The sequence below is a fragment of the Homo sapiens genome, chromosome 3 (assembly GCF_000001405.40).
Source record: "Homo sapiens chromosome 3, GRCh38.p14 Primary Assembly".
NCBI classification, from domain to species: domain Eukaryota; kingdom Metazoa; phylum Chordata; class Mammalia; order Primates; family Hominidae; genus Homo; species Homo sapiens.
In genome coordinates, this window is record NC_000003.12 from 196266960 (window position 1) to 196291218 (window position 24259).

At 44.9% G+C, this 24259-nt stretch overlaps 1 protein-coding gene across 2 annotated transcripts in view, besides 8 other annotated features; it reads right to left on the bottom strand.

Moving 5' to 3' along the window:
• The window catches only part of PCYT1A (phosphate cytidylyltransferase 1A, choline), a 53359-nt gene extending 32592 nt beyond the window's left edge, over nucleotides 1-20767 (bottom strand). The window contains exons 1-3 of one of the 2 annotated variants that reach the window (NM_005017.4): nucleotides 20656-20767; nucleotides 16516-16579; nucleotides 3456-3582 (exon numbers count right to left, since the gene is read on the bottom strand). In NM_005017.4, the coding sequence (NP_005008.2) occupies nucleotides 3456-3572 (117 nt within the window). In that variant the 5' untranslated portion in view covers nucleotides 3573-3582; nucleotides 16516-16579; nucleotides 20656-20767. The remainder of the gene's footprint in view (nucleotides 1-3455; nucleotides 3583-16515; nucleotides 16580-20655) is intronic. The other variant, NM_001312673.2, reaches the window with a different exon arrangement.
• Nucleotides 6125-6624: an enhancer, noted in NCBI's record as "H3K4me1 hESC enhancer chr3:195999955-196000454 (GRCh37/hg19 assembly coordinates)". NCBI's record gives its function as "activates a minimal SCP1, AML or CMV promoter by ChIP-STARR-seq in naive H9 embryonic stem cells {active_cell/tissue: H9 hESC(naive)}" and the evidence as "EXISTENCE:reporter gene assay evidence [ECO:0000049][PMID:30033119]".
• Nucleotides 7793-8002: an enhancer, noted in NCBI's record as "active region_21083". NCBI's record gives its function as "activates an Ori minimal core promoter by ATAC-STARR-seq in GM12878 lymphoblastoid cells {active_cell/tissue: GM12878}" and the evidence as "EXISTENCE:reporter gene assay evidence [ECO:0000049][PMID:35858748]".
• Nucleotides 12041-12653: an enhancer, noted in NCBI's record as "H3K27ac-H3K4me1 hESC enhancer chr3:196005871-196006483 (GRCh37/hg19 assembly coordinates)". NCBI's record gives its function as "activates a minimal SCP1, AML or CMV promoter by ChIP-STARR-seq in naive H9 embryonic stem cells {active_cell/tissue: H9 hESC(naive)}" and the evidence as "EXISTENCE:reporter gene assay evidence [ECO:0000049][PMID:30033119]".
• Nucleotides 19590-20250: an enhancer, noted in NCBI's record as "H3K27ac-H3K4me1 hESC enhancer chr3:196013420-196014080 (GRCh37/hg19 assembly coordinates)". NCBI's record gives its function as "activates a minimal SCP1, AML or CMV promoter by ChIP-STARR-seq in primed H9 embryonic stem cells {active_cell/tissue: H9 hESC(primed)}" and the evidence as "EXISTENCE:reporter gene assay evidence [ECO:0000049][PMID:30033119]".
• Nucleotides 20084-20133: an enhancer, noted in NCBI's record as "active region_21084". NCBI's record gives its function as "activates an Ori minimal core promoter by ATAC-STARR-seq in GM12878 lymphoblastoid cells {active_cell/tissue: GM12878}" and the evidence as "EXISTENCE:reporter gene assay evidence [ECO:0000049][PMID:35858748]".
• Nucleotides 20251-20910: an enhancer, noted in NCBI's record as "H3K27ac-H3K4me1 hESC enhancer chr3:196014081-196014740 (GRCh37/hg19 assembly coordinates)". NCBI's record gives its function as "activates a minimal SCP1, AML or CMV promoter by ChIP-STARR-seq in primed H9 embryonic stem cells {active_cell/tissue: H9 hESC(primed)}" and the evidence as "EXISTENCE:reporter gene assay evidence [ECO:0000049][PMID:30033119]".
• Nucleotides 20354-20703: an enhancer, noted in NCBI's record as "active region_21085". NCBI's record gives its function as "activates an Ori minimal core promoter by ATAC-STARR-seq in GM12878 lymphoblastoid cells {active_cell/tissue: GM12878}" and the evidence as "EXISTENCE:reporter gene assay evidence [ECO:0000049][PMID:35858748]".
• Nucleotides 21084-21193: a silencer, noted in NCBI's record as "silent region_15059". NCBI's record gives its function as "represses an Ori minimal core promoter by ATAC-STARR-seq in GM12878 lymphoblastoid cells {active_cell/tissue: GM12878}" and the evidence as "EXISTENCE:reporter gene assay evidence [ECO:0000049][PMID:35858748]".

Here is a 24259-nt window from a genome sequence, read left to right on the forward strand (position 1 = left end):
CAGGAGATCGAGACCATCCTGGCTAACATGGTGAAACCCCGTCTCTACCAAAAATAAAAATTAAAAAAAATCAGCCGGATGTGGTGGCTGGCGCCTGTAATCCCAGCTACCCGGGAGGGTGAGACAGGAGAATCACTTGAACCCAGGAGGCGGAGGTTGCAGTGAGCCGAGATTGCGCCACTGCACTCCAGCTTGGGCGACAGAGCGAGACTCAGTCTCAAAAAAAAAAAAAAAAAAAATTAAGTACTTGTACATGTTGCAGTACGAATGAATCTTCAAAACAAGCTCAGTGAAAGAAGCCAGCCCCAAAGACCACATACCGTATGATGTCATTTGTATGAATGTCCAGAACAGGCAAATCCACAGAATCAGAAAGCAGATTAGTGGCTTCCAGAGGCTGGAGAGACTGGGGGGAAATGGGGAGTGACTGCTAATGAGTACAGGCCTTCTTTCTGGGGTGATAAAAATATCCCAGGCCAGGCATGGTGGCTCACACCTGTAATCCCACACTGTGGCAGGCTGAGGCAGGAGAATCGCTTGATCCAGGAGACTGAGACCAGTCTGGGTAACATAGTGAGACCCCATCCCTACAAAAACAAATTTAAAAATTAGCCAAGCATGGTGATGTGCACCTATATTCCCAGCTACTTGGGAGGCTGAGGTGAGAGGACTGTTTGAGCCCAGAAAGTTGAGGCTGCAGTGAACTATGATCACACCACTGCACTGCAGCCTGGGTAACAGACCAAGACCCTGTCTCAAAAAAAAAAAGAAAAAAATTCTAAAATTGGTCATGGTGATGGTTGCACAACTCTGTGAATAAACTGAAAACCACTGAATTGTATACTGTAAATGATATGTCAATTATAACTCAATAAAGCTGTTAAAAAAAGAAAAAAGTCTTGCTTGCTTTTGTTATAGAGTTCAAAGGAGATTCAGAGCTAGAAAGTACAGGTGTACAGTGAGATGGCAGAAAGTTTACTAGCAGACATTCCTCCTCACTAAGGTGGGCCAGGCTGTTGGGTGGATCTCTGACCATTCACCTATGCCAAATAGTCTGTGTGTTTCAGGGAGGAATGTGGAATAGGTAGCAGCAAGTCACTGAACTGATTTCACATGAATATATGAAGCAAAGTAATTTAAAGCATTAAGACTCCCCAGAAGAATTTAAAAAAAAAAAAGATTCCCAGAGTCTAAAGACCAAGAAATTTAAGTTTTCTCAGAGCTCATTCCACTGAAAAGACTGGCTTCCTTTGCTTTATTCCTAGCTACAGTGATTGGCTGATTAGCTGACAGTATCACCTATTTGGTTATAACTTGTTCCTACTCCAAGTGATGTTGCTGAATTGGTACACACCACCATTTCTTTAATCTGAATTATCTAAGAAATATTCAGAAACTAACAATGCCCTGTTTTGTTGATTGCTGAGTCACTTTCTGAGCTTATTTGCTGTAGTATGCAGAATAATGCCCCCCTGCAGATGGCCACACCCATTCCCTGGAGCCTGTGACTGTTTTACCATACATGGCAAAAGAGACTCTGCAGGCCAGGCACAGTGGCTCACGCCTGGTAATCCTAGCACTCTGGGAGGCCGAGATAGGAAGACTACTTGAGCTCAGGAGTTCAAGACCAGCCTGGGCAACATAGCAAGACCCTTACTCTAAAAATAAAAATAAAAATAAAAATAGTAAGCCAGGCATGGTGGTGGGCACCTGCAATCCCAGCCACTTGGGAGGCTGAGGCAGGGAAATCACTTGAACCCAAGAGGCAGACGTTGCAGTGAACCGGGACCGCACCACTGCACTCCAGCCTGGGTGACAAAGCGAGACTCTGTCTCAAAAATACAAATAAAAATAAATAAAAATAAAAATAGTAAAGAGGCTTTGCAGATATGATTAAATAAAGGAAGATTATTCTGGTTTATCTGGGTATACCGAACGTAATCACAAGAGTCCTTGTAAGTGAAAAGGGGAAGTAGGAGGTTCAGAATCAGAGCAGGAGACATGGCAGAAGCAATCGTCAGAGTGATGTGAGCACTGGCTGGTGCCAAGCACTAAGCAATGTGGGAACCCTCTAGAAGCTGGAAAAGGCAAGAAGATGGACTTTCCCCTGGACCCTCCAGCTCTGCCAACACCCTGATTTTAGCCCTCTGAGACCCATTTCAGATTTCTGATATCCAGAACTGTAAGATAATTCATTTGTATATTTGTATTATGGTAATTTGTTACAAATGCAACAGGAAACAAATATATATACTTGCCCTTATGATCAATATCAGCCCTGCAGGCACTTGTCTATTTGTAGGGTATTATTTGCTTTTATTGCTCAAGACAGAGCATTCATTTGGAATAAGTATTAACTGTTTCAGAATAGATTTTTCCCTTTGGGCTGGGAAGCTCTAGAACTAAGCAGTGGAAACTGAGTTTGATCAATGGCTAATAGTCAATATAGGTAAAGAAACATACAATTCTGTCACTGGGATTTTGAAACACAGATTTCATAATAATATTAACAACAGTAGCTTCAATTGTGTGTAAGTGTTCTCTGACATGTTTTTATTATGGAAAGTTTTAGGAAGGGTAGCAAGCTGAGACAGGATAGGCAGTGTGGAGGAAAGCTTTAGGAAGGGTAGCAAGCTGAGATGGGATAGGCAGTGTGGAATGGGGTCTTTCATCTAAGGTTTGGCAATAATTAGGAAATACAAAGATAATTTTCCAGAGATAAAGGAGCATAAGGTAGGCATAAACGGAAAAAGGTTCTCATCTAAGATACAACTAGTAACAGGATGGAGGAATGATAGAGGGAGAAAAAACAGCAGAAAAGACGCACTAGACACCATGAGATGATACGAAGATCAAATCACTGCCTAGAGCCCCAATTTTTCTATTTCATTAGTTTTATTTATTTGTTTATTTACTTTTTATTTTTATTTTTGAGATAGGGTCTGTCTCTGTTGCCCAGGCTGGAATGCAATGGTGCAATCTCGGCTCACCGCATCCTCCGCCTCCCGAGTTCAAGCAATTCTCATGCCTCAGCCTCCCAAGCAGCTGAGATTACAGGCATGCGCCACCACGCCCGGCTAATTTTGTATTTTTAGTAAAGACAGGGTTTCACCAGGCTGGTCTCAAACTCCTGACCTCAGGTGATCCTCCCACCTCAGCCTCCCAAAGTGTGGGATTACAGGTATGAGTCACCGCACCTGGCCATATTTCAATAGTTTCAGCCTAATACACATGCAACTTCCATATTTTCCTAACACTTCTTTTTCTAAACCCAATGTAAAGCTTCTACAACTGAGCTGTGAGTCATAATCCAGTAAAAAGGCAGCAGATTTCCAGTGACTGTGAAAATACACTTACTATTCCTTCTTTTCATTATTTCAGAAGACATGTAACACTGATATCATCAATGTCATATCGGTTTCTACCCTCCCCCTGCCAGGTTAATCTCCACTTACCACTGCACAGCGCTGCACTTTGGAAGGAACCCCATCTTCTTCTGTTGCCCCGTTGGGTCCGGGCGCCTCTTTTCTCCTCTTCCTTGCATTGACCTTGGCTGAACACTGTGCATCCATCTTCTTTTAACTGGTCATAGAAAGTGAAAACAAAAATTTTCTCATTGGGGTGGGAAAAAGTTTGTCACCAGTATTTCAGAGACGTTGACGTGGATACACTCAGCAAAATACCAATTCTACAGCTGCACTTCACCAAGATGAGCCAATGGCATCTGGCAAAACCAGCGAAGCTTCACAAAACACAGGCTCTAGTAGAAATACTGAAACGCCTCTCTGTGCAACAATGGCCACAGTGAATTGCCTGAAGTCGGAAGTCATTCCCCCTCACAGTGCAGCCTACATACTAACTGCTCATTTTAAATCCTGATTGCATGCAAAAGATTGGAATAATTTGGCTGAGAAAGATAGTTACACAGACTCTCCCACTATCCTCCGCATCATCGATATGACAGGTATAAGGCAATGTGAAGGTATGACTGGTGCAGGTAGAGAAAAGAGCCTTTTGTAAACGGATGGCTCTCACCAAGTCCTGGATTAACAAAACACGGATTTCTTAACTCTAATTTTTTTTAAGACGGGGTCTCACTCTGTTGCCCAGGCTGGGGTGCAGTGGTATGATCTTGCCTCACTGCAGCTTCAACCTCGTTAGCTCAAGCGATCCTCTTGCCCCAGCCTCCCAAGTAGTTGGGACTACAGGCACATGCCACCACACCTAGTTATTTTTTTTTTTAAGAGACAGGCCTCGCTATGTTGCCCAGGCTGGTCTTGAATTCCTGGCCTCAAGTGATCCTCCCAACTCAAACTCCCAAAGACTTGGGATGACAGGCATGAACCACATCACTGAGTGAATTTCTTAACTCTAAAAGTTCTATAGATTTCAGTGACCACTTCACCAGAGTTACTTGCATGAAAATTGTGGAGTAGCATAATGGTTTTTATTTACTTTTTTATTGTTTTTATTTTTTTAGGGGTCTTGCTAGGTTGTCCAGGCTGGAGCGCAGTGGCTACTCACAGCCATAATCATAGCACACTGTAGCCTCAAACTCCTGAGCTTAAGCAATCCTCCCATCTGAGCCTCCAGAATAGCTAGGACCAGCATAATGTATTTTTTAAATGTCCTTCTCCTTCTTTCCTTTTTTTTTTTTTGAGAAAGAGTCTCACTGTGTCACCCTGGCTAGAGTGCAGTGGCACGATCTCGGCTCTCACAGCCATAATCATAGCACACTGTAGCCTCAAACTCCTGAGCTTAAGCAATCCTCCCATCTGAGCCTCCAGAATAGCTAGGACCAGCATAATGTATTTTTTAAATGTCCTTCTCCTTCTTTCCTTTTTTTTTTTTTTGAGAAAGAGTCTCACTCTGTCACCCTGGCTAGAGTGCAGTGGCACGATCTCGGCTCTCACAGCCATAATCATAGCACACTGTAGCCTCAAACTCCTGAGCTTAAGCAATCCTCCCATCTGAGCCTCCAGAATAGCTAGGACCAGCATAATGTATTTTTTAAATGTCCTTCTCCTTCTTTCCTTTTTTTTTTTTTTGAGAAAGAGTCTCACTCTGTCACCCTGGCTAGAGTGCAGTGGCACGATCTCGGCTCTCACAGCCATAATCATAGCACACTGTAGCCTCAAACTCCTGAGCTTAAGCAATCCTCCCATCTGAGCCTCCAGAATAGCTAGGACCAGCATAATGTATTTTTTAAATGTCCTTCTCCTTCTTTCCTTTTTTTTTTTTTTGAGAAAGAGTCTCACTCCGTCACCCTGGCTAGAGTGCAGTGGCACCATCTCGGCTCACTACAACCTCCGCCTCCCAGGTTCAAGCGATTCTCCTGCCTCAGCCTCCTGAGTAGGTGGGATTACAGGCACCCACCACCACGCCTGGCTAATTTTTTGTATTTTTAGTAGAGACAGGGTTTCCCTATGTTGGCCAGGCTGGTCTCGAACACCTGACCTCGTGATCCACCTGCCTCGTCCTCCAAAAGTGCTGAAATTACAGGCGTGAGCCATGGCGCCTAGCCAATTTTTGTATTTTTAGTAGAGACAGGGTTTTGTCATGTTGGCCAGGCTGGTCTTGAACTCCTGACCTCAGGTGATCCACCCACCTCGACCTCCCAAAGTGCTGGAATTACAGGTGTGAACCACTGCACCTGGCCCTTCCCCTTCTTTTCTCAGTACTCATTTCCCTTTCCTCTTTCAGGGTCTTAACACCTCAAGCTTGTTCACAGTTTCCAGCTATTAAAACCCCCTCAGGGATTCTCCTTCCCCCAAAGGAACTTATTTATTATTGTCTCATTTAGCAGAGAGTTTCTAGCAACTAGCTATTACAGCAAAGTTCTGAATATTCTGTATTTCATGTTTAAGTCACAGAATACTTGGGGTGTCACTTCGCTAGCCAGAAACCTCTGTGGCCAGTGGCACCTTTGCCTGAGTTTTGCTCAGGCCCGCCGGGCTCGTTCCGTCCACTCAGCCTGGTAGGCTATGCTCAGCTTGTGTTACCAGCACAGATTCCATGCATGCCAAGGACAAGCCAGGCACGGAGCGGCAAGAGGTGCACAGGCGAGCCAGCACAGGGTCCGGCCACTGCGCACAGCCAGGCACGCCAGCTGCCAGGGGGTGAGCAGCTCGAGGCGCCAGCTCCCTGAGAGGCTGCAGCTGAACCAGGCGTACTACAAGCAGCTTCCACTGCAGGCACTGGGGAACATGGTGCTGCCCAGAAGCTTGGAGAGGCCAGGAACCACAGAGCTCCAAAGAGGGTGTCACAGCCCTGGCTCAAGGAGCTCCTAGGTCTGGGCTTCCCAAAGGGCTACAGCTCTTCTCTTTCTCTCTCCTCTCTTCTCTCTTTCTGTTGCCCACAGCGTGGCAAGCAGTGGGGGAGGGGAGGACGTGTTTCGGCTCTGTTTGTGTTTCAGCTCTTTCAGTCCCACCATTTGGCAGATCCCGAGTTCTTGTCCCACGTCCAGGAAGAATGAGGTATATGGACAACTGGAGGACGAGCAAGGTGAAGAGGTGCTTTATTGAGCAACACAACAGCCCTCAGGAGACCCCAAGCGGGTAGCTCCTTTCCGCAGCAGGTCGTCCCAGCATCTGTGCAGCCCTCAGCGGAGAGGAGACCCAGAGTGGATAGCTCCTATCTGCAGGCAGGTCATCCTGACGTCTCTGCAGCCCTCAGTGGAGAGGAGACCTGGAGTGGGAAGCTCCTATCCGCAGGCAGGTCATCCCATCAAGTATGGCTGAGTCCAGGGTTTCTACGGGCTTCAGCGGGCAGGAAGTGCATGCTGATTGGTCCATGGGCAGCCACAGGCAGCCCGGAAAAAGCATCGTAAGTTCTCATTCCAGTCCACAGAACTGGCAGCCTGGGCCCCAGGCTTCAGGCCATCCCTGGCTTGAAGGTGGGGCTTCACCAGGGACCCGCCCATTTCCGCCTAGGAGCCTGTCTGCCTCCTGCTGTCATCAACCTGCTGTCCACAGCGCCCAGGCTATTCACGAAGGGGCGCCTGCAGGCCTGAATGGAGCTGCTCTCAGCTCCGCCTTGGCGTCCCCTCCTGTGCTGCTGGACACCCAAAATCCAGAGGGGGCCAAGGCAGAAGGGGGCTGGCATGTCAGCACTGCCCCTAGCACACGCAAACCCAGCCAGGTCATGACAGTGCCCAGGCTTGGCCTCAACTTTGCTCCAAAATCAGAGCAGGCACCAGGAGCAAGGAGAGGCCAGGCAGTGGGAGCAGGCACTTCAAGCCTGCAGGGGCAGGGGAGGTTCCTGGGCCCCCAAAAGCACAGGGAAGCCCGGGTATGTAGCCACGGCTGCTCCCGCCCTGCCAACTTGGAAACGGGCAGGGCTTCCACCTACTCCCAGCTCCCAGTGGCTCCATGGAGCGTGCAGCACAGACCATGCCTCCCCGACTGCAGCCGGCATCATGGCAGCAGCCCATCCAGACAGGCCACCGCTGCCATCATTTAGATGTTGGCTTTTCAGCCCCCTGCAGGGATAGTTGCGTTTTTCTTAAGTAACACAATTTGTACAAATAAATTACTTTCTTGATACTGATGAAATTTTAGGAATCAGCCAGAAATTGGGGGTAGGGGAAACTCTATGATAAACTGTCATCTCTGCACAAGATACGGTTCAGAGAAAAATCTTCAGAACAGGTGGAAAACCAATGCCAGACAGAATGAGGACAGTCTGCTCTGCCCTACTGCCTCTCATAAGCCTGACTGAGATGTTCGTCTAAACAACTGCAACTGTGCCTTACTTTCTTTCCTCCGGCTCAACTCCGAGTGGCAATATGACAAGATCTACAAGAAACTGGCCTAATTCTTAGAAGCTGAAGGTGACACCCCATGAGTCATGGCCAACATGAAAAAATGTCAGAGTCGAAAGTGAAAGATGAGCACCACCTAGAAACTTCCTTTCATCACAAATGCAAATTAAAATGGAAGAAGGGTTCTATACATTTCACTCCGAGTTCTTTCAGTGATGATGATCAGAGCTTGTCTTCACTATTGTTCTTAATGATTCCTTCATAATATTCAGAGGTCAATACTCTCATCTCAGTGGTCTGAGTGAACTACTCAAAATGCCTAATCCATCCAATTAATGATTGTTTTCTAATTTGCACAGTACTCTTCTGTAAGTATCTGCTCAATTCTTCTAAGTGTAGAGAGACAAAATCCACTATGAGAAATATAATCAGCAATTTGGCATCTGGCAAGTCAATAATATCAGGCAGTCAAAAATATGAGTACTTACTGCTTACAAAGTACTGTATCATAATTTTTAAGTACAAACTGAACCTGGAGGACATTATGCTAAGTGAAATAAGCCAGACGAGAAAGACAAATACCACAAATGACCTCACTTATTTGTGGAATCTAAAAGAGTGGAACTCACAGAAGTACAGAATGGAATGGTGGTTACAAGAGATGGACAGAAGAGGGTGGAGAGCAAAAAGGGAGATGTCGAGTACAAAAATTCAGTTTTGAAAGGAGAAACAGGCTGGGCACAGTGGCTCACGCCTGTAATCTCAGCCTTTGGGAGGCTGAGGCGGGTGGATCACGAGGTCAAGAGATCGAGACCATCCTGGCCAACATGGTGAAACCCCATCTCTACTAAAAGTACAAAAAATAGCTGGGTGTGGTGGCGCATATCTGTAATCCCAGCTACTCGGGAGGCTGAGGCAGAAGAATCCCTTGAACCCAGGAGACAGAGGTTGCAGTGAGCTGAGATCGCACCACTGCACTCCAGCCTGGCAACAGAGTAAGACTCTGTCTCAACAAAAAAGAAAAAAAAAAAGAATGGAGAAATAAGCTTTAGTGATCTATTGCACAGAATGGTGACTATAATAAATAATAATGCAGCCAGGCACGGTGGCTCACACCTGTAATCCCAGCACTTTGGGACGCCAAGGCAGGCGGATCACAAGGTCAGGAGATTGAGAACATCCTGGCTAACACAGTGAAACCCTGTCTCTACTAAAAATACAAAAAATTAGCCAGGCGTGGTGGCGGGCACCTGTAGTCCCAGCTGCTGGGGAGGCTGAGGCAGGAGAATGGTGTGAACCCGGGAGGCAGAGCTTGCAGTGAGCCGAGATCGTGCCACTGCACTCCAGTCTGGGCGCCAGAGTGAGACTCCGTCTCCAAAAAAAAAAAAAACCAAAACAAAATAAATAATAATGCATTTTATATTTCAAAATTGCTAAAAGAGTAGATTTTAAATGTTTTCACCACAAAAAAATAAGTATATAAGGCAAGGAATTTGTTAATTAGCTTGATTTAATCATTCCACATGTAAACATATATCGAAGTATCACATTGTATCCCATAAATATAAACAACTATTATTTATCAATTTAAAAAATTAAAGGCCAGGCACAATGGCTCACGCCTGCAATCCCAGCACTTTGGGAGGCTGAGGTGGGCAGCTCACCTCAGGTCAGGAGTTTGAGACCAGCCTGTGCAACATGGTGAAACTCCATCTCTACAAAAATACAAAAATTAGCCAGACTTGGTGGTGCATTCCTGTAATCCCAGCTACTCAGGAGACTGAGGCGGGAGGATCACTTGAATCTGGGAGGCAAAGGTTGCAGTCAGCCGAGATCGCACCACTGCACTCCAGCCTGGGCAACAGAGTGAGACTCCGTCTCAAAAAATGAAAAAAAAAAAAAAATTAAGTACAAACTATTTTCTCAAGGAAGCTTCAATTAAGGCATGGAAAACACACACAGAGCTCCACCTCAAAAATGCTTATGATATAAAAATGCTCTACAGGATTCTAAAACCATGGGGTGAAAGTTTGCTGAGGAATAGGATATTTGCAGTTACGAAAAATTGACCAGGTGTAGTGGCACATGCCTGTAGTCCCAGCTACTCGGGAGGCCGAGGTGGGAGGACTACTTGAGAACAGCAAGTCAAGGCTGCACTGAGCCATGATCATGCCACTACACTCCAGCCTGGACAGCAAAGTGAGACCCTTTCTCAAAAAAAAAAAAGGCCACATGCAGTGGTTCATGCCTGTAATCCTGGCACTTTGAGAGGCCAAGGCAGGCGAATCACCTGAGGTCTGGAGTTCAAGACCAGCCTGGCCAACATGGTGAAACCCCGTTTCTACTAAAAATATAAAAATTAGCCAGGTGTGGTGGCGGGCACCTGTAATCCCAGCTACTTGGGAGGCTGAGGCAGGAGAATTGCTTAAACCCAGGAGGCAGAGGTTGCAGTGAGCCAAGATCATGCCATTGCACTCCAGCCTGGGTGACAAGAGTGAGACTCCATTTCAAAAAAATATATATATTTTTTTCTTTACCTGCTTACACTATTATGTGTTTATACTATTCCTTATCTGCTTACATACAGTTCTTCTATTTTCTAAAGATGACTTTTGGGTTTTACATTATATTCTACACTGTTCTTTAAACTGAAGTCTTTAGATCCTTCGGATTTAAAATAAAACACACCCACTGCTTTTTGGGTTTTAGTGTAAGACACTTCTTTATCTCATCCACTTCTCAGGAGATGGAAAACATCTGGGTCACAGATATTCCATAATGATAACCCTAAAAGAATTTAGAAATTATGCAAAGATTACTCCTCATGACTTTCCTCTAGAACTACTGCTGTTTAAACTTTTACTCTGGGCTGGGCGCGGTGGCTCATGCCTGTAATCCCAGCACTTTGGGAGACCAAGGTGGGTGGATCACATGAGGTCAGGAGTTCGCAACCAGCCTGGCCAACATGGTGAAACCCCATCTCTACTAAAAATACAAAAATTAGCTGAGCGTGGTGGCATGCACCTGTAATCCCAGCTACTTGGGAGGCTAAGGCAGGAGGATCACTTGATCCCTGGAGGTGGAGGTTGCAGTGAGCCTAAATCGCACGCCACTGCGCTCCAGCCTGGGCGACAGAGCGAGACTTTGTCTCAAAATAATAATAACAATAATAAACTTTTACTCTGTAGGTCTCACAAGTTTTTTTCATTTTTTCCCGGCCTTCTTATGCCATCCCAATGTTCTCTCACATCTACTAACTTATAACCGCAGCACCAAAGCATACAGAATAATAACTGATGTTTAAAATCATGGAAAAAGGTACCCCCAGTCTCCCTCATGTTCCAATAGATGCTTGCCCGGACACATCACCTTTGCTACTGAGAAAGTGTAGAGAAAAGGTGTGTGGGAGGATGAGGGCGTACTGAAGACAGTAAATACATCCTAACATCGTGTTGGCTTCTTAATTTGTTACACTGAAACTTAGGTGTACCTAAAGCCACACCACCATTACAACATCGATAACTGCCCAGTAACCATTTGGAATACCTCCAACAATGAGGAACAATATTTCTTGGACTCTCAGTTTATGATAAGTGCGCCTCTGTCATCAACCAATACCATTCAAGTAAGGTACAGTGATGGCTCTGGAAAAGGAGGTGGCTTTAAATATCTACATTCAAAGGGGAAAAAAAATACACGCACACACACAGGCTGCCTTAATATCCCTGTTTGTCCAGCGGGCAATGGGACTGGGAAATGATCGCGCCTCCTCAGAGCCAATACAGTAGGAGGCGAACATGGGGCAGTGCATTACTCAATGCCCTGCAGACTGACCCTTAGGAATGAGACAGGAAGAAAAGTATTTGGAGATAGAATAGAGAACCTCCCTCAAGAGCCCTACTAGGATGGGCCAACACTTCCTGTTTGTTTAGTGGTTCATCCTCCAGAACACTTTCTTTGTCAAAAAGGCTATAACAGCCCAGTACAGTGGCTCATGCCTATAATCCCAGCACTTTGGGAGACCAAGGCGGATGGATTGCTTGAGCCCAGGAGTTCAAGACCAGCCTGGCCAACATGGCGAAACCCCATCTCTACTAAAAAGACAAATAATTAGCCAGGAGTGGTGGCACATGCTTGTAGTCCCAGCTACTTGGGAGTCTGTGGTGGCAGAATCGCTTGAACCCAGGATGCAGAGGTTGCAGTGAGCCAAGATCGTTCCACTGTACTCCCGCCTGGGTGACAGAGCAAGACCTCATCTCAAAAAAAAAAAAAAAAAAAAAGCTAGGCCAGGTGTGGTGGCTCACACTTGTAATCCCAACACTTTGAGAGGCCAAGGCGGGAGGATCACCTGAGGTCAGGAGTTCGAGACCAGCCTGGCCAACATGGTGAAGCCCGGTCTCTACTAAAACTACAAAAATAAGCTGGGCGTGGTGGCAGGTGCCTGTAATCCCAGCTACCCAGGAGACTGAGGCAGGAGAATCATTTGAACCCAAGAGACGGAGGCTGCAGTGAGCCATGATCATACCACTGCACTCCAACCTGGGTGACAAGAGTGAAACTCTATCAAAAAAAAAAAAAAAAAGGGCTGACAGCCAGAATACAGCAATTGTTAAGACCTGATCTTTCCAACTGCTGCCTATTCACTCCCTAGATAAGTCACCTTATCTTAATCACTGAAATTTGAGCACAGACTCTAAATATGGACATAAAAACCCATCCCCCAACACCCTGCCTGCTAAGTACATTAGTGTCTCCAAAGTGCCCTCGAAATACAGAATGCAGTATCTGTGCCTGTGATTTTTACTCCGACTCACAAAGACCTGGTTTGGTTTCTGCTGACTCACCTACCAGTACACACTGCTTGCCTTGTTCCTCCACGTTCCAACACATGCCTGCTGAGGCACATCAGCTTTGCTAGACAAGTGGAAGATGTGTTTGTGGAGGGAGGGGTGGCACTGAGGAGACACTAAGGATACAGCTAGTCATATTTTTCCAATGTGAATGTCCTGAAGGAGACAGAATCTAGGTGCTGGCATGTCTATGCTTGAGTCTGAAAGATGATAGGCTCCTACAAGTAGTTTTAGGGACTCCTATCCAGTCCTTTCTTTTTTTTTTTTTTTTTTTTTTTTTGAGACAGAGTTTCACTCCTGTTGCCCAGGCTGGAGTACAATGGCACGATCTCAGCTCACCACAACCTCCACCTCCCGGGTTCAAGCAATTCTCCTGCCTCAGCCTCCCGAGTAGCTGGGATTACAGGCATGCACCACCACGCCTGGCTAATTTTGTATTTTTAGTAGAGATGGGGTTTCTCCATGTTGAGGCTGGTCTTGAACTCCTGACCTCAGGTGATCTGCCCGCCTCAGTCTCCCAAAGTGCTGGGATTACAGGCGTGAGCCACCGCACCCGGCCTATCCAATCCTTTCTATTCAACTTCCTTATTGCAAACAGACCTACCAAGGGAAAGAGGAGTTGGACTTTGCTTCCTGAACTATGTAACAATCTAAATATAGCAGAGTCCTCTCTTATCCACAGGGGAAATGTTTCAAGACGCCAGCAGATGCCTGAACCCCTAGAGAGTATGGACCCTATATGGACAGTTGTCCCTCAGAATCTGCAGGGCACTGGTTCCAGGATCTCCTGCAGATGCCAAAATCCACAGATGCTCAAAAGTCCCTTATATATATAAAACGGTGTCGAATTTGCATATAATCTATACCCCCTATATACTTTCAATCTTCTCTACATTACTTACAACACCTAATACAATGTAAATACTATGTAACCAGTTATTATACAATATTGGTTTTTTATTTGTACTGTTTTTTATTGTTGTATTGGTATTTTTATTGTTTTTTTTTTTTTTTTTTTCTGAATATTTTCGATCCAAGTTTGGCTGAATCTGCGGATGTGGAGCCCATGGCCACGAAGGGCTGACTCTACTTTGTTTTCTCCCTATATACACAGAGCTATGATAAAGTTTTATTTATAAATTAAGCACAGTAAGAGATTAACAGGAATAACTAATAATAAAACAATTATAACAATATACTGTAATAAATGTTATCTGAATGTGGCTGTTCTCTCTCACTCTCAAAATATCTTACTACATCATACTCACCTATTTTCTGACCGTGGCTGACTGTGGGTAACTGAAACCACGGAAAGTAAAACTGCGACTAAGGGTGAGCTCTTGTAGTAGCAAGTTGCAATTACATATGCTATTCCACATTTCAAAAATCTAACTCAAACTTGACCAATTACTACAAGGAACTATTTGCAAAAAGATGAGGCATAATTTTTCCTTTGCACTCTATTCCTGCCTTCCCCATCTCTAGGCCTACATTATCTTCCCCACTAAAACCCAATGCCCAGTATTTTTCTATCAGCATATCAATGCCCAGTTCCAAAGCCGAGTGCGCAAGCAGACTTTACATTTGGGATGTTTCTCTGCTTCTACCGTGGTGGTGCTTAATGAGCTGGTGCTCTAAGAGGCAAGCTCTGGAAACTCAAGGGTTAAAGTGCATCTAATATTCCTGGCATTCATTAATCCTATCATCTTGCTGTACACTCAGGTCTTTCTGGAGATAACAGTGTAAGGACATTGCCCCCTATGTAAAGGCCTTTGAAGCTTGAAGGAGTATATGGCTAAGCGAAAGTAGGGAAAAGAGCTGGACTCAAGAACCAGAAAATCTAGATCAGGGGTCAGCAAACTACAGCTAGCTGGCCAAAGATGGCCCACTACCTGTTTTTGTAATTAAAATTCGATCAGAACACAGCCATGTTCACTCACTGATGTGTTTATTGTCCATGGCTGCTTTTGTGCTACAACAGCAGAGCTGAGTAGTCACAGATACTGTGTGACCTGCAAACCCTAAACTATTTACAATCTGGCCCGTTACTGAAAAAGTTTGCTACCTCTCATCCTAGATGAAATCAGGACCAGCTTTATTAATAATTTGGTGGCAAATTCTACCTAAATTTACCCAATCTAAAGTGAAAAACAGTGTTAGAAATAGAATTATTTCGAGTACAGTGGTGCAATCATGGCTCACTGCAGCCTCGAACTGCTGGGCTTAAGTGATCCTCCTGCCTCACCCTCCCAAGTAGCTAGGACTACAGGCACATGCCACTACACCCAGCTAATTTTTTGTAGAGATGGGGGTCTCACTTTGCTGCCCAGGTTGGTCTCAAACTCCTGGCCTCAAGCAATCCTCCCACCTCAGCCTCCCAAAGTGCTGGGATTATAGGTATGAACTATCACACCAGGCTGAGAACTTATAAATGTAAAAGTGAATTTCAAAACATGAGCTTCTCTGACAGATTAGTTCTAAACTAAAGTTCAACGTTACTTGTCATGAGCCCTATAAACTGTCACATTTAAGACCTTAGCTTTGAACTGGATCTCTTCCCTCTAATTTCGTCAGAGAAACCCTTATTCAACAAACACTGAGCGGCACTTACTCTGTGCCAGACCCTGGGTTAGCCACTGGCACACATAATAAAGCTTATACTTCTTCGGCCTGGACATGTAGTAGAATATTTCAGGAAAGAAAAAACCATGAGGGACACATGTAATAGTTCTTACAGTTGAACAATTTTACTCTGCCACTATTCTACCAGAATATTTGGTGAGTAAACTCTTGTGTTTAGAATGTGATCTTCCTAGAGTGGGTTATGGAACTCATATCTCTGAGGCAGGGTCTATGATAGAATTCAGGAAGTCTGTGAATTTGGATGAAAAAGACTGTATCTTTATTTTCACTTCAGTGATGAACATAAGCTACAGCAGTAATAGCAGACTTATTAGACAAATGGATTTGTTACCAGTAGAAATCATGGATATTTTCATACCATATCATACTTCTTAAATTTTGATAACTATATATCAATATAATTCAATATAACTGGTTTTCTTTATAGTTCTATGTATTTTATTTTTGCATATAAAAACATATTCCAAAAAGGAACTCTAAAAGCTTTCACCACACTGCCAAAGGAGTCCATAACACAAAAAAGATTAAGATTCCTGTTCTACGGTCAAAAAATAAAGAAACATAATCACATTTAGGGTAATTTTCTGTATATAAAAAAACTACCTGTTTTTTATTAAGGGTCATATGCTCATTTTCTATAGAGCAGGGACCATATGTCATTATTTTTGGCAGCCTTCACTTCAAAACTGGTTTGCAAGTAGTTGTGAATGTGATATAACAGCCTAGCAGATTCATGGGTTCCCCTGGCTCACTGGCAGTCATCCTAGTCCAAACATAGAAAGCCTCAAACTAATATAACTTTCAACTTGTGGTACAAGAGAATTCCCAAAAGAAAGCAAGGGGCAAGGCACAGTGGCTCACGCCTGTAATCCCAACACTTTGGGAGGCCGAGGCGGATGGATCACTTGAGGTCTGGAGTTTAAGACCAGCCTGGCCCACATGATGAAACCCCGTCTCTACTAAAATACAAAAATTAGCTGGGCGTGGTGGCGGGCACCTGTAATCCCAGCTGAGGCAGGAGATCGCTTGAACCCAGGAGGCAGAGTTTGCAGTGAGCTAAGATTGCACCACTGCATTCTAGCCTGGGCAACAAGGCAAGACTTGGTCTCAAAAAATAAATAAATAAATAAATAGAAAGAAAGGAGGGAAAAGACACACACAGAAAGCCTGCTATTAATATATATCTATTAACCTGGTTTACGAATGGTAAAATACAGGTAATTCAATTATTTACATTAATGAATAAGGTAGGTAACAAACCTAAAAGAATGCCAAATATGAGACTCATTTCTTTTTATCTTCTGAGGTGGCGCTTCGGCACATGCTGCAAACGTAAAAAGGTACATTCCTTGAATTTACTGGCTAAATTGTAGAAAGGAATTAGGATTTAAATTCTGCCACAAATAATCCACAAAGCAATTAACAAAACAAATCACAGATGAAACATGTGTTTAAGTACTCATTTGACAGGAATACTGTGAAAAGAGAGGTTTAGGACTAAAAACAGAAAGGTTTACGCTTAGGAAAGAGGTTCAAGGACTTAGGGAAAAGGAGATGCCAGAAGCTGCCAAGCAGATAAGCAGGAGGGTTGACAAGGCCTAAAGTGCTGATCCCCTCACTCTCCCAAGTCACCCCTTTTTCTAATATGCTTGATGTGTGATAATGTCAAAGATGTACAAGCAGCCAGCCACAATCTTGAGCAAAAAAGGGACTCTCACAGTCCTGTGATAATTGGCAAGTGCCCTGACTTTAGGGTTTCTCCAACTGGAAACAAATCCAAGAAAAAAATGACTTTTACAAAAATGTATTCTTTCCAATCTATTTCAAGGTAACACAAACTTTGATGTAAGGGAGACCTATTTCTGCTTGATTCAGAAAGGGAAATTTCTATTAGTAGAAAAATCAGAAGGTCTGCTTCAGATCAGTTATGTAAATACTTAGAAAAGCATGATGCTTAAGTAAGAACTCTACTATTATTAGCAGATATTTTGCTATTATCCATCATTAATAACAATGGAAAATTATGCTTTTTATTTGAGCATTTCAAAAACTAATTCTCATCAGCACTTATAACATCTCTAGGAGAGGTTATTCAGCTCCCTAGGGAAATACTGTCTAACTTAAAGGCCAGACAGCTCTGAATTATAAATGGAGTCAGATGGTTTACAAACTCTATGAAATTACATACAAAATTTGGTAAGTTCACATATATTTCAGATTATTAAAGGGCTGTTTAATCATAAGAAGAGTTACCTCTGGCCATGGTTAGAAAATCTACAACAAGAGAAAGCAATAATGCTTTCCATACATAGTCACAGGGCGAGTAAATGTTAACATCGGAGAAAGTCACCAGGGACTGCTAAGTCCAGGCTCTATCTGACGAGGTCATTCTTCTTAAGGGATCACATATCCAAAAAGCAGGTCCCCAGGGAAAATAAAACCCCACTGCTTATGGGAGGAGAGTCATAGACTGAGGGGGAATGAAGCTCATTCTTTATCAACCAGGCCATCATGCTAGTTTTCAAAGGGAATTTGCAAAGCAAATCTTTTGTCCTACAAAAAGATTCATTTCATTCAGCAAAGAAAAAAGACCCTAGAGGGAGTACTGCTGAATCCCAAGCCTCTTCCACAGTCTGTTACCTTGAAGCATAGATGCTGTTCTAGAAGAAACCCCTGGGTAGTTCCTTTTAGCTATGTAGAATGTAAGTCAAGTAAACATCTAATGTGCTAGAAAAAGGTGTAACTAACCAATTTATTTAGCCAAGAAAAGGCTATCCCCCACCATTCTCAACTCATTCCCATTCAAGAACCTATCTGAACTCTATTCCCCTATTACAGAGTGTAGGGGGCAGGAGTGGTTATCAGATTAATACACTGTACGATAAATTAAATGACCTCATACTTCTCCTATTATAAAAAGCACTGGTGGCACAATCAATAGCACCTTCTAAAAAGAGCTGTAAGGCCAGGCGTGGTGGTCACACCTGTAATCCCAGCACTTTGGGAGGCTGAGGTTAGTAGATCACCTAAGCTCGGAAGTTTGAGACCAGCCTGGCCAACGTGGTGAAACCCTGTCTCTACTAAAAATACAAAAATTAGCCAGGCATGGTGGCACATGCCTGTAGTCCCAGCTATTCAGGAGGCTGAGGTAGGAGAATCGCTTTGAACCAGGAGGCGGAGGTTGCAGCGAGCTGGGATCGTGCCAGCACACTCCAGCCTGGGCAACAGAGTGAGACTCTGTCTCAAAAATAAATAAATAAATAAATAAAATAAAAAGGGCTGTAAGAGAGAAGGAAGTAGTAACATTCACTTTAATTTCATCTACATCACTCACAGCCCTAAAGAAAGGGAATGTGTAGGAAATAAAGTCAGCAGCTAAAGCTTCATTTACATTACCCATAGTGTGGTATCATTCCTAGCATGCCAGGCTTGGCCTCAGTGTACAAATCATTGAATTAGAGAGCTAAGTACATTGAAGTCTCTCCCATGTGGCATCCCAATCACCATTATTGACACTGCGAGTGTCATCATTTTGTCCCCCTTTCTTTCTCATCATGGTCATAGTTTACTGCTATTACTGCACTAAATCCCATTCTCAATGTCTTTTTACTAGCAATTCTCTGTACTTGCCAAATCACTAAATATCAAGATAAATAGGCTCTGGAGGTCATATCTGCCTTCCTACTTCCATTTTATTGTTGGCAGATTATTTTCTGCCCCTATCTTGAGTTTCCTTCCCAACCCTTGTTCCTACGCTCAAAGCTTCCCGTTCCTCATGAGCAGTTTCTCATACCACAAACCCCTAAATCCTCACTGCCTCTATAAATATCACAAATACCACTGTCCCTTTTTTTTTTTTTTTTTTTGAGACAGAGTCTCCCTCTGTCACCCGGGCTGGAGTGCAGTCTCACAATCTCAACTCACTGCAACCACCGCCTCCTGGGTTCAAGCAATCCTCCCACCTCAGCCTCCCCAGTAGCTGGGATTCCAGGCATGCGCCACCACACCCGCCCAGTGTCCCTATTTCAATATAATTTCTGGTTCTCCCAACTGAGATGCCGAGTTTCAGCTCTCACAGCTAGTCACCTCAATTACATTCAGGAAGCCTCCTCCAGTTAGGCCAGGCTAATACAGCCTGTTCCCAATTGCATCTTTGTACTTCCAAAGAGTTCCCTATTCATAGAATCATTACATTTTAGAACCAAAAGAAAACTCAGAAATCATCCGGTCCAATGTTTTTCAAACTTTTAAAGTACATTTTGCTTCTTACACTTTGAGATGTACAAAATCTATTTTACATCATAATCTCATACACACATAACTCAAACAAATCACATGAAACAATACTTACCCTTACTATGTAAACACACTGAAAGTTTCTATTCTATTCCACTTTTTAAAAGAAAAGTACAGGTTCAGGCCAGGCGCGGTGGCTCACACTGTAATCCCAGCATTTTGGGAGGCCTAGGCGGGTGGATCACCTGAGGTCAGCAGTTCAAGACCAGCCTGGCCAACATGGAGAATCCCCATCTCTACTAAAAATACAAAAATTAGCCGGGCGTGGTGGCGCATGCCTGTAATCCCAGCTACTAGGGAGGCTGAGACAAGAGAATCGCTTGAACCAGGGAGGCGGAGGTTGCGGTGAGCTGAGATCGCGCCACTGCGCTCCAGCCTGGGCAACAAGAGCGAAACTGTCTCAAAAAAAGAAAAAGAAAAAAAGTACAGGTTCCATCCACTAAATTGGTTTCACAGCTCAATACTAGGAAGAAACCCATAGTGTGGGAGGCATTAAACTAGTCCAAACTTCCCATTCACTGATGAAGAAACTGTAACTCAGTGGTGAAGTTTGTCCGTAAAAATTAAACTCAGGCCTGTTAAGTTCCAGACCAGTGTTCTTTCCACTAAAGACCTTCTCTGCCCAGTCACGGCCAATCACACCCCGTGCCCAAACACAACCCTACAGCGCCATCGCCCATCACGGATGCCATCCTCTTCTCCAAGTCAGCCCCTCGAAGTCACTGCTCTGGGTCGGAGTCCCCTCGCGGCCGCTGCTCGTGTTCCCTTAGGTCCGGATCCCCCACAGTCACTACCAATCGATCAGAGTCTCCTTGGAGTCCTTGCCCCTTGATCATAGTCCCTTGCAGTCACTGCCTCATACTTCCTCGGTCCAAGTGCCGTCGCAGCCCCGGCCTCGCGCTCTCCGAGGTCACCGTGTTTCGCATTCACTGCTCCTGGGTCACAGTCCCCTCGCTGTCACTGGCCCTCGGTCACAGTAGCCTCCCAGCCCCTGGCTCCCACTGCCCTCGCTGTCACTTACCACTCTTCCTCAGTCACAGTCACCTCGCGGTCCCAGCCCCACAGTTTGTCCTCTCAAACAGAGACGCAAAGATAGGCACACACCTGCAACTCACGCTCCCCCGAGCCCGGTCCGGTCGGATTTCTGGCCGGCGCCGCGTCACTGACTAGGGAAGTTGAGGAGGTTGCGGGGAGACGCCCGGGGAAGGCAGCTGATGGAAGAGCCAGCCGGAAGTTCCGCCTACTTCCCCTACCTCTGTCAATCCGACCACGACTTCTCCTTGAAAACCACGACTCCTGACACAGTAGTTCCGCCTCCTCAGAGGCCCCCGGGATGAAGTGACCCAGCAGAAATACCAGAGACCGGAGACGGAATGGCCCAGGGTCAGCCTCCACCCGGAACCGGAGGATGCAGCGAAGACGTCTCCTTGAAGTGGGATACGGATGTGAACCGGCCCAAGTGCTCGCCGGTCCGTCAAGACGCGCTGCCCGGCTGCTCCCGTGTCCAACTCGGGCTGTGTCCGCCCAGGCGGGCCTGTGCGCGGAGGTCCTACCGCTGCACCTCCGCGCCTACCGCAGCCCGCACCCCCGCACCCGGGCAGCCAACGTGCAGGAGGCCCGGGCGCCTTCAGCGGAGACGCCCCGACCGCGGCTGCCTCGCCGCAGCGTTAGCTTTTACCTACGTGGGGAAGTAAGGGGAATTTGCGACCGCCAGCCCAGTCCGCTGAAAACCTGTGGCTGACCCACCCTCTTCCTTTTTCTGACCCACGTTGGCTCCAAAAAAAAAAATCCCTAGGGATCCACTGGGAGCCAGTTGAGCAGGAGTGGATTAAGACACGTGTCGCAGGGTGTATGGTGGAAAGAAACGTTTTCCTTTGCTAGAATGAACCTTGGGAAGGATCCCTTTTGATTCCGTAGATGTAAGAGGCTACACAATATTATGGAAGAAGGATGTAAAAAAAATGTATTATTATTTTTTAGTTACCAACTGGACTGAAGTAAAAGACCTTTTAAACTTATTTACTTATTCTTTTATTTTTTTAAAAGACGGAGCCTCGCTCTGTCGCCCGGGCTGGAGTGCAGTGGCGCGATCTCAGCTCACTGCAGCCTCCGCCTCCAGGGTTCAAGGGATTCTCGTGCCTCATCCCGAGTAGCTGGGATTACAGGCATGCGCCACCACGCCCGGCTAATTTTTGTATTTTTAGTAGAGTCGGGGTTTCACCATGATGGTCAGGCTGGTCTCGAACTCGTGACCTCAAGTGATCTGCCCGCCTCAGCCTCCCGAAGTGTTGGGATCACAGGCCACCGCGCCCAGTCAACTTTTTGTTGCTATTGTTGTTGCTTTGCTTTTTTTATTTTATTTTGCTTTTTTTGTCTACATCAAGGGTATCCAATCTTTTGGCTTCCCTGGGGCACATTGGTAGAAGAGGAATTGTCTTGGGCCACACATAAAGTACACTAACAGTAACAATAGCTGATGACTTAAAAAAAAAAATCGCAAAAAAAAAAAAAACCTCATGTGTTTTAGAAGTTTACAAATGTGTGTTGGGCCGCATGCAAAGCTGTTCTGGGCCGCGGCTTGGACAAGCTTGGTCTACATGCTTAACTTGAAAGTGGCTGAGAAGAAAGAGGATGGGTATAACTGCATCTGCTGAGGAGTTTCCAGGGGGAAAAAGGATTTAAACCTGAATTTCAAATATGTCTTTGAACATGGCGGTTAGACTAAGGTACCCCAAATAAGGACAGTTAGCTGGAGAAGACACCGCGGCCTCTAAGGGGAACATCACTACAAAAATAGAGTTGAGATAGTAACCAACATCAGAATCTCAGTCTTAAGGGAGGATGAATTTCATAAGACCCTGACACTGTGGACAAAGAAAATGGATGGGTGTTTAGGCTAATAAGCTATGTAAGACATAGGATGGCAAGAGCTGAGCAAAAACACTGTGTGAGAAAGATGAAGGCAACAATTCAAAATGTAGGAAAAAGCAGCCAGGCATGGTGTTTCATGCCTGTACTCCCAGCATATTGGGAGGCTAAAGCAGGAGGATCACTTGAGGCCAGGAGTTCAACACTAGCCTGGGCAACATAGCAAGGCCTCATCTCTATAAAAAATAAAATTACTGTTGGGAGGGCAACATGGGCGGATCACAAGGTCAGGAGTTCGAGACCAGCCTGGCCAACATGGTGAAACCCTGCCTCTACTAAAAATACAAAATTAGCCAGGCGTGGGGGCGCATGCCTGTAATCCCAGCTACTTGGGAGGCTGAGGCAGGAGAATCTCTTGAACCTGGGAGGCTGAGGTTTCAGTGAGCCAAGATGGCGCCACTGCACTCCAGCCTGGGTGACAAAGCAAGACTCTGTCTCAAAAACTAAATAAATAAAATAAAATTACTGGCCAGGTGTGGTGGCTCACACCTGTAATTCCAGCACTTTGGGAGGCCAAGGCAGGCAGATCACTTGAAGCCACAAGTTTGAGACCAGCCTGGCCAATGTGGCAAAACCCCATCTGTACAAAAAAAAATACAAAAATTAGGTGGGCATGGTGGTGCCTGCTTGTAATCCCAGCTACTCGGGAGGCAGGAGAATCTCTTGAACCCAGAAGGCAGAGGTTAGTGAGCCGAGATCGTACCACTGCACTCCAGCCTGGGCAACAGAGCAACACTCTGTCTCAATAAATAAAAAAATAAAAATAAACATTTTTTAAAAATAGCCATGTGTGTTGGCATGCCTGTAGTCCCAGCTACTCAGGAGGCTGAGGTGGCAGGATCACTTGAGCCTAAGAGTTCAAGGCTGCAGCAAGTTACAGTCCCGCTACTGTGCCCCAGCCTGGGCAACAGAACAAGGCCCATTCTCTGAAAATAAAAATAAATAAATTCAAAAGTTATTTTAAAGATGTAGGAAAAAGCTTTATGCACAAATAAAGCCATGTCTTTATTTTTTATAATAGTGAAAAATCAGAAATAAGCAGACCCTCAATAAGGAACTGGCAAAAATAACAATATGGTATAACCTATTGAAATAAATGCCGCTATTAAGTCATGCATCTTAAAATCATAATGCAAATAAAATGACATAAAAACTGTTCATAACATCATGAGAAATGAAAAATGAGGGTACAAAATTATATGTTTTTTAAACCTTGGAAATAAAAAACATTGGTAGAAAATATACCAAAATTTTTACCATTGGTTATGTTTGAACAATTGAAATGGCTTTTCCCCTACTTTTTTCTCTGTGTTCCAGTGTAACAAGAATATAGTAGGGCCGGGCGCAGTAGTTCACACCTGTAATCCCAACACTTTGGGAGGCTGAAATGGATGGATCATGAGGTCAGGAGTTTGAGACCAGTCTGGCCAATATGGTGAAACCCCGTCTCTAGTAAAAATACAAAAATTAGCCAAGCGTGGTGGCACTTGCCTGTAGTCCCAGCTACTTGGGAGGCTGAGGCAGAAGAATCACTTGAACCCAAGAGGCGGAGGTTGCAGTGGGCCGAGATTGTGCCACTGCACTCCAGCCTGGGCGACAGAGAGAGACTCTGTCTCAAAAAAAAAAAGAAAGAAAGAGAGAAAGAGAGAGAGAGGGAGAGAGAGAGAGAGACAGAGAGAGAGAGAGGAAGGAAGGAAAGAAAGAAGGAAGGAAAGAAAGAAACAGAACATAGTGTAACAAAATCAAAACATTAAAAATATAAGGCCTAAAACACAACAGA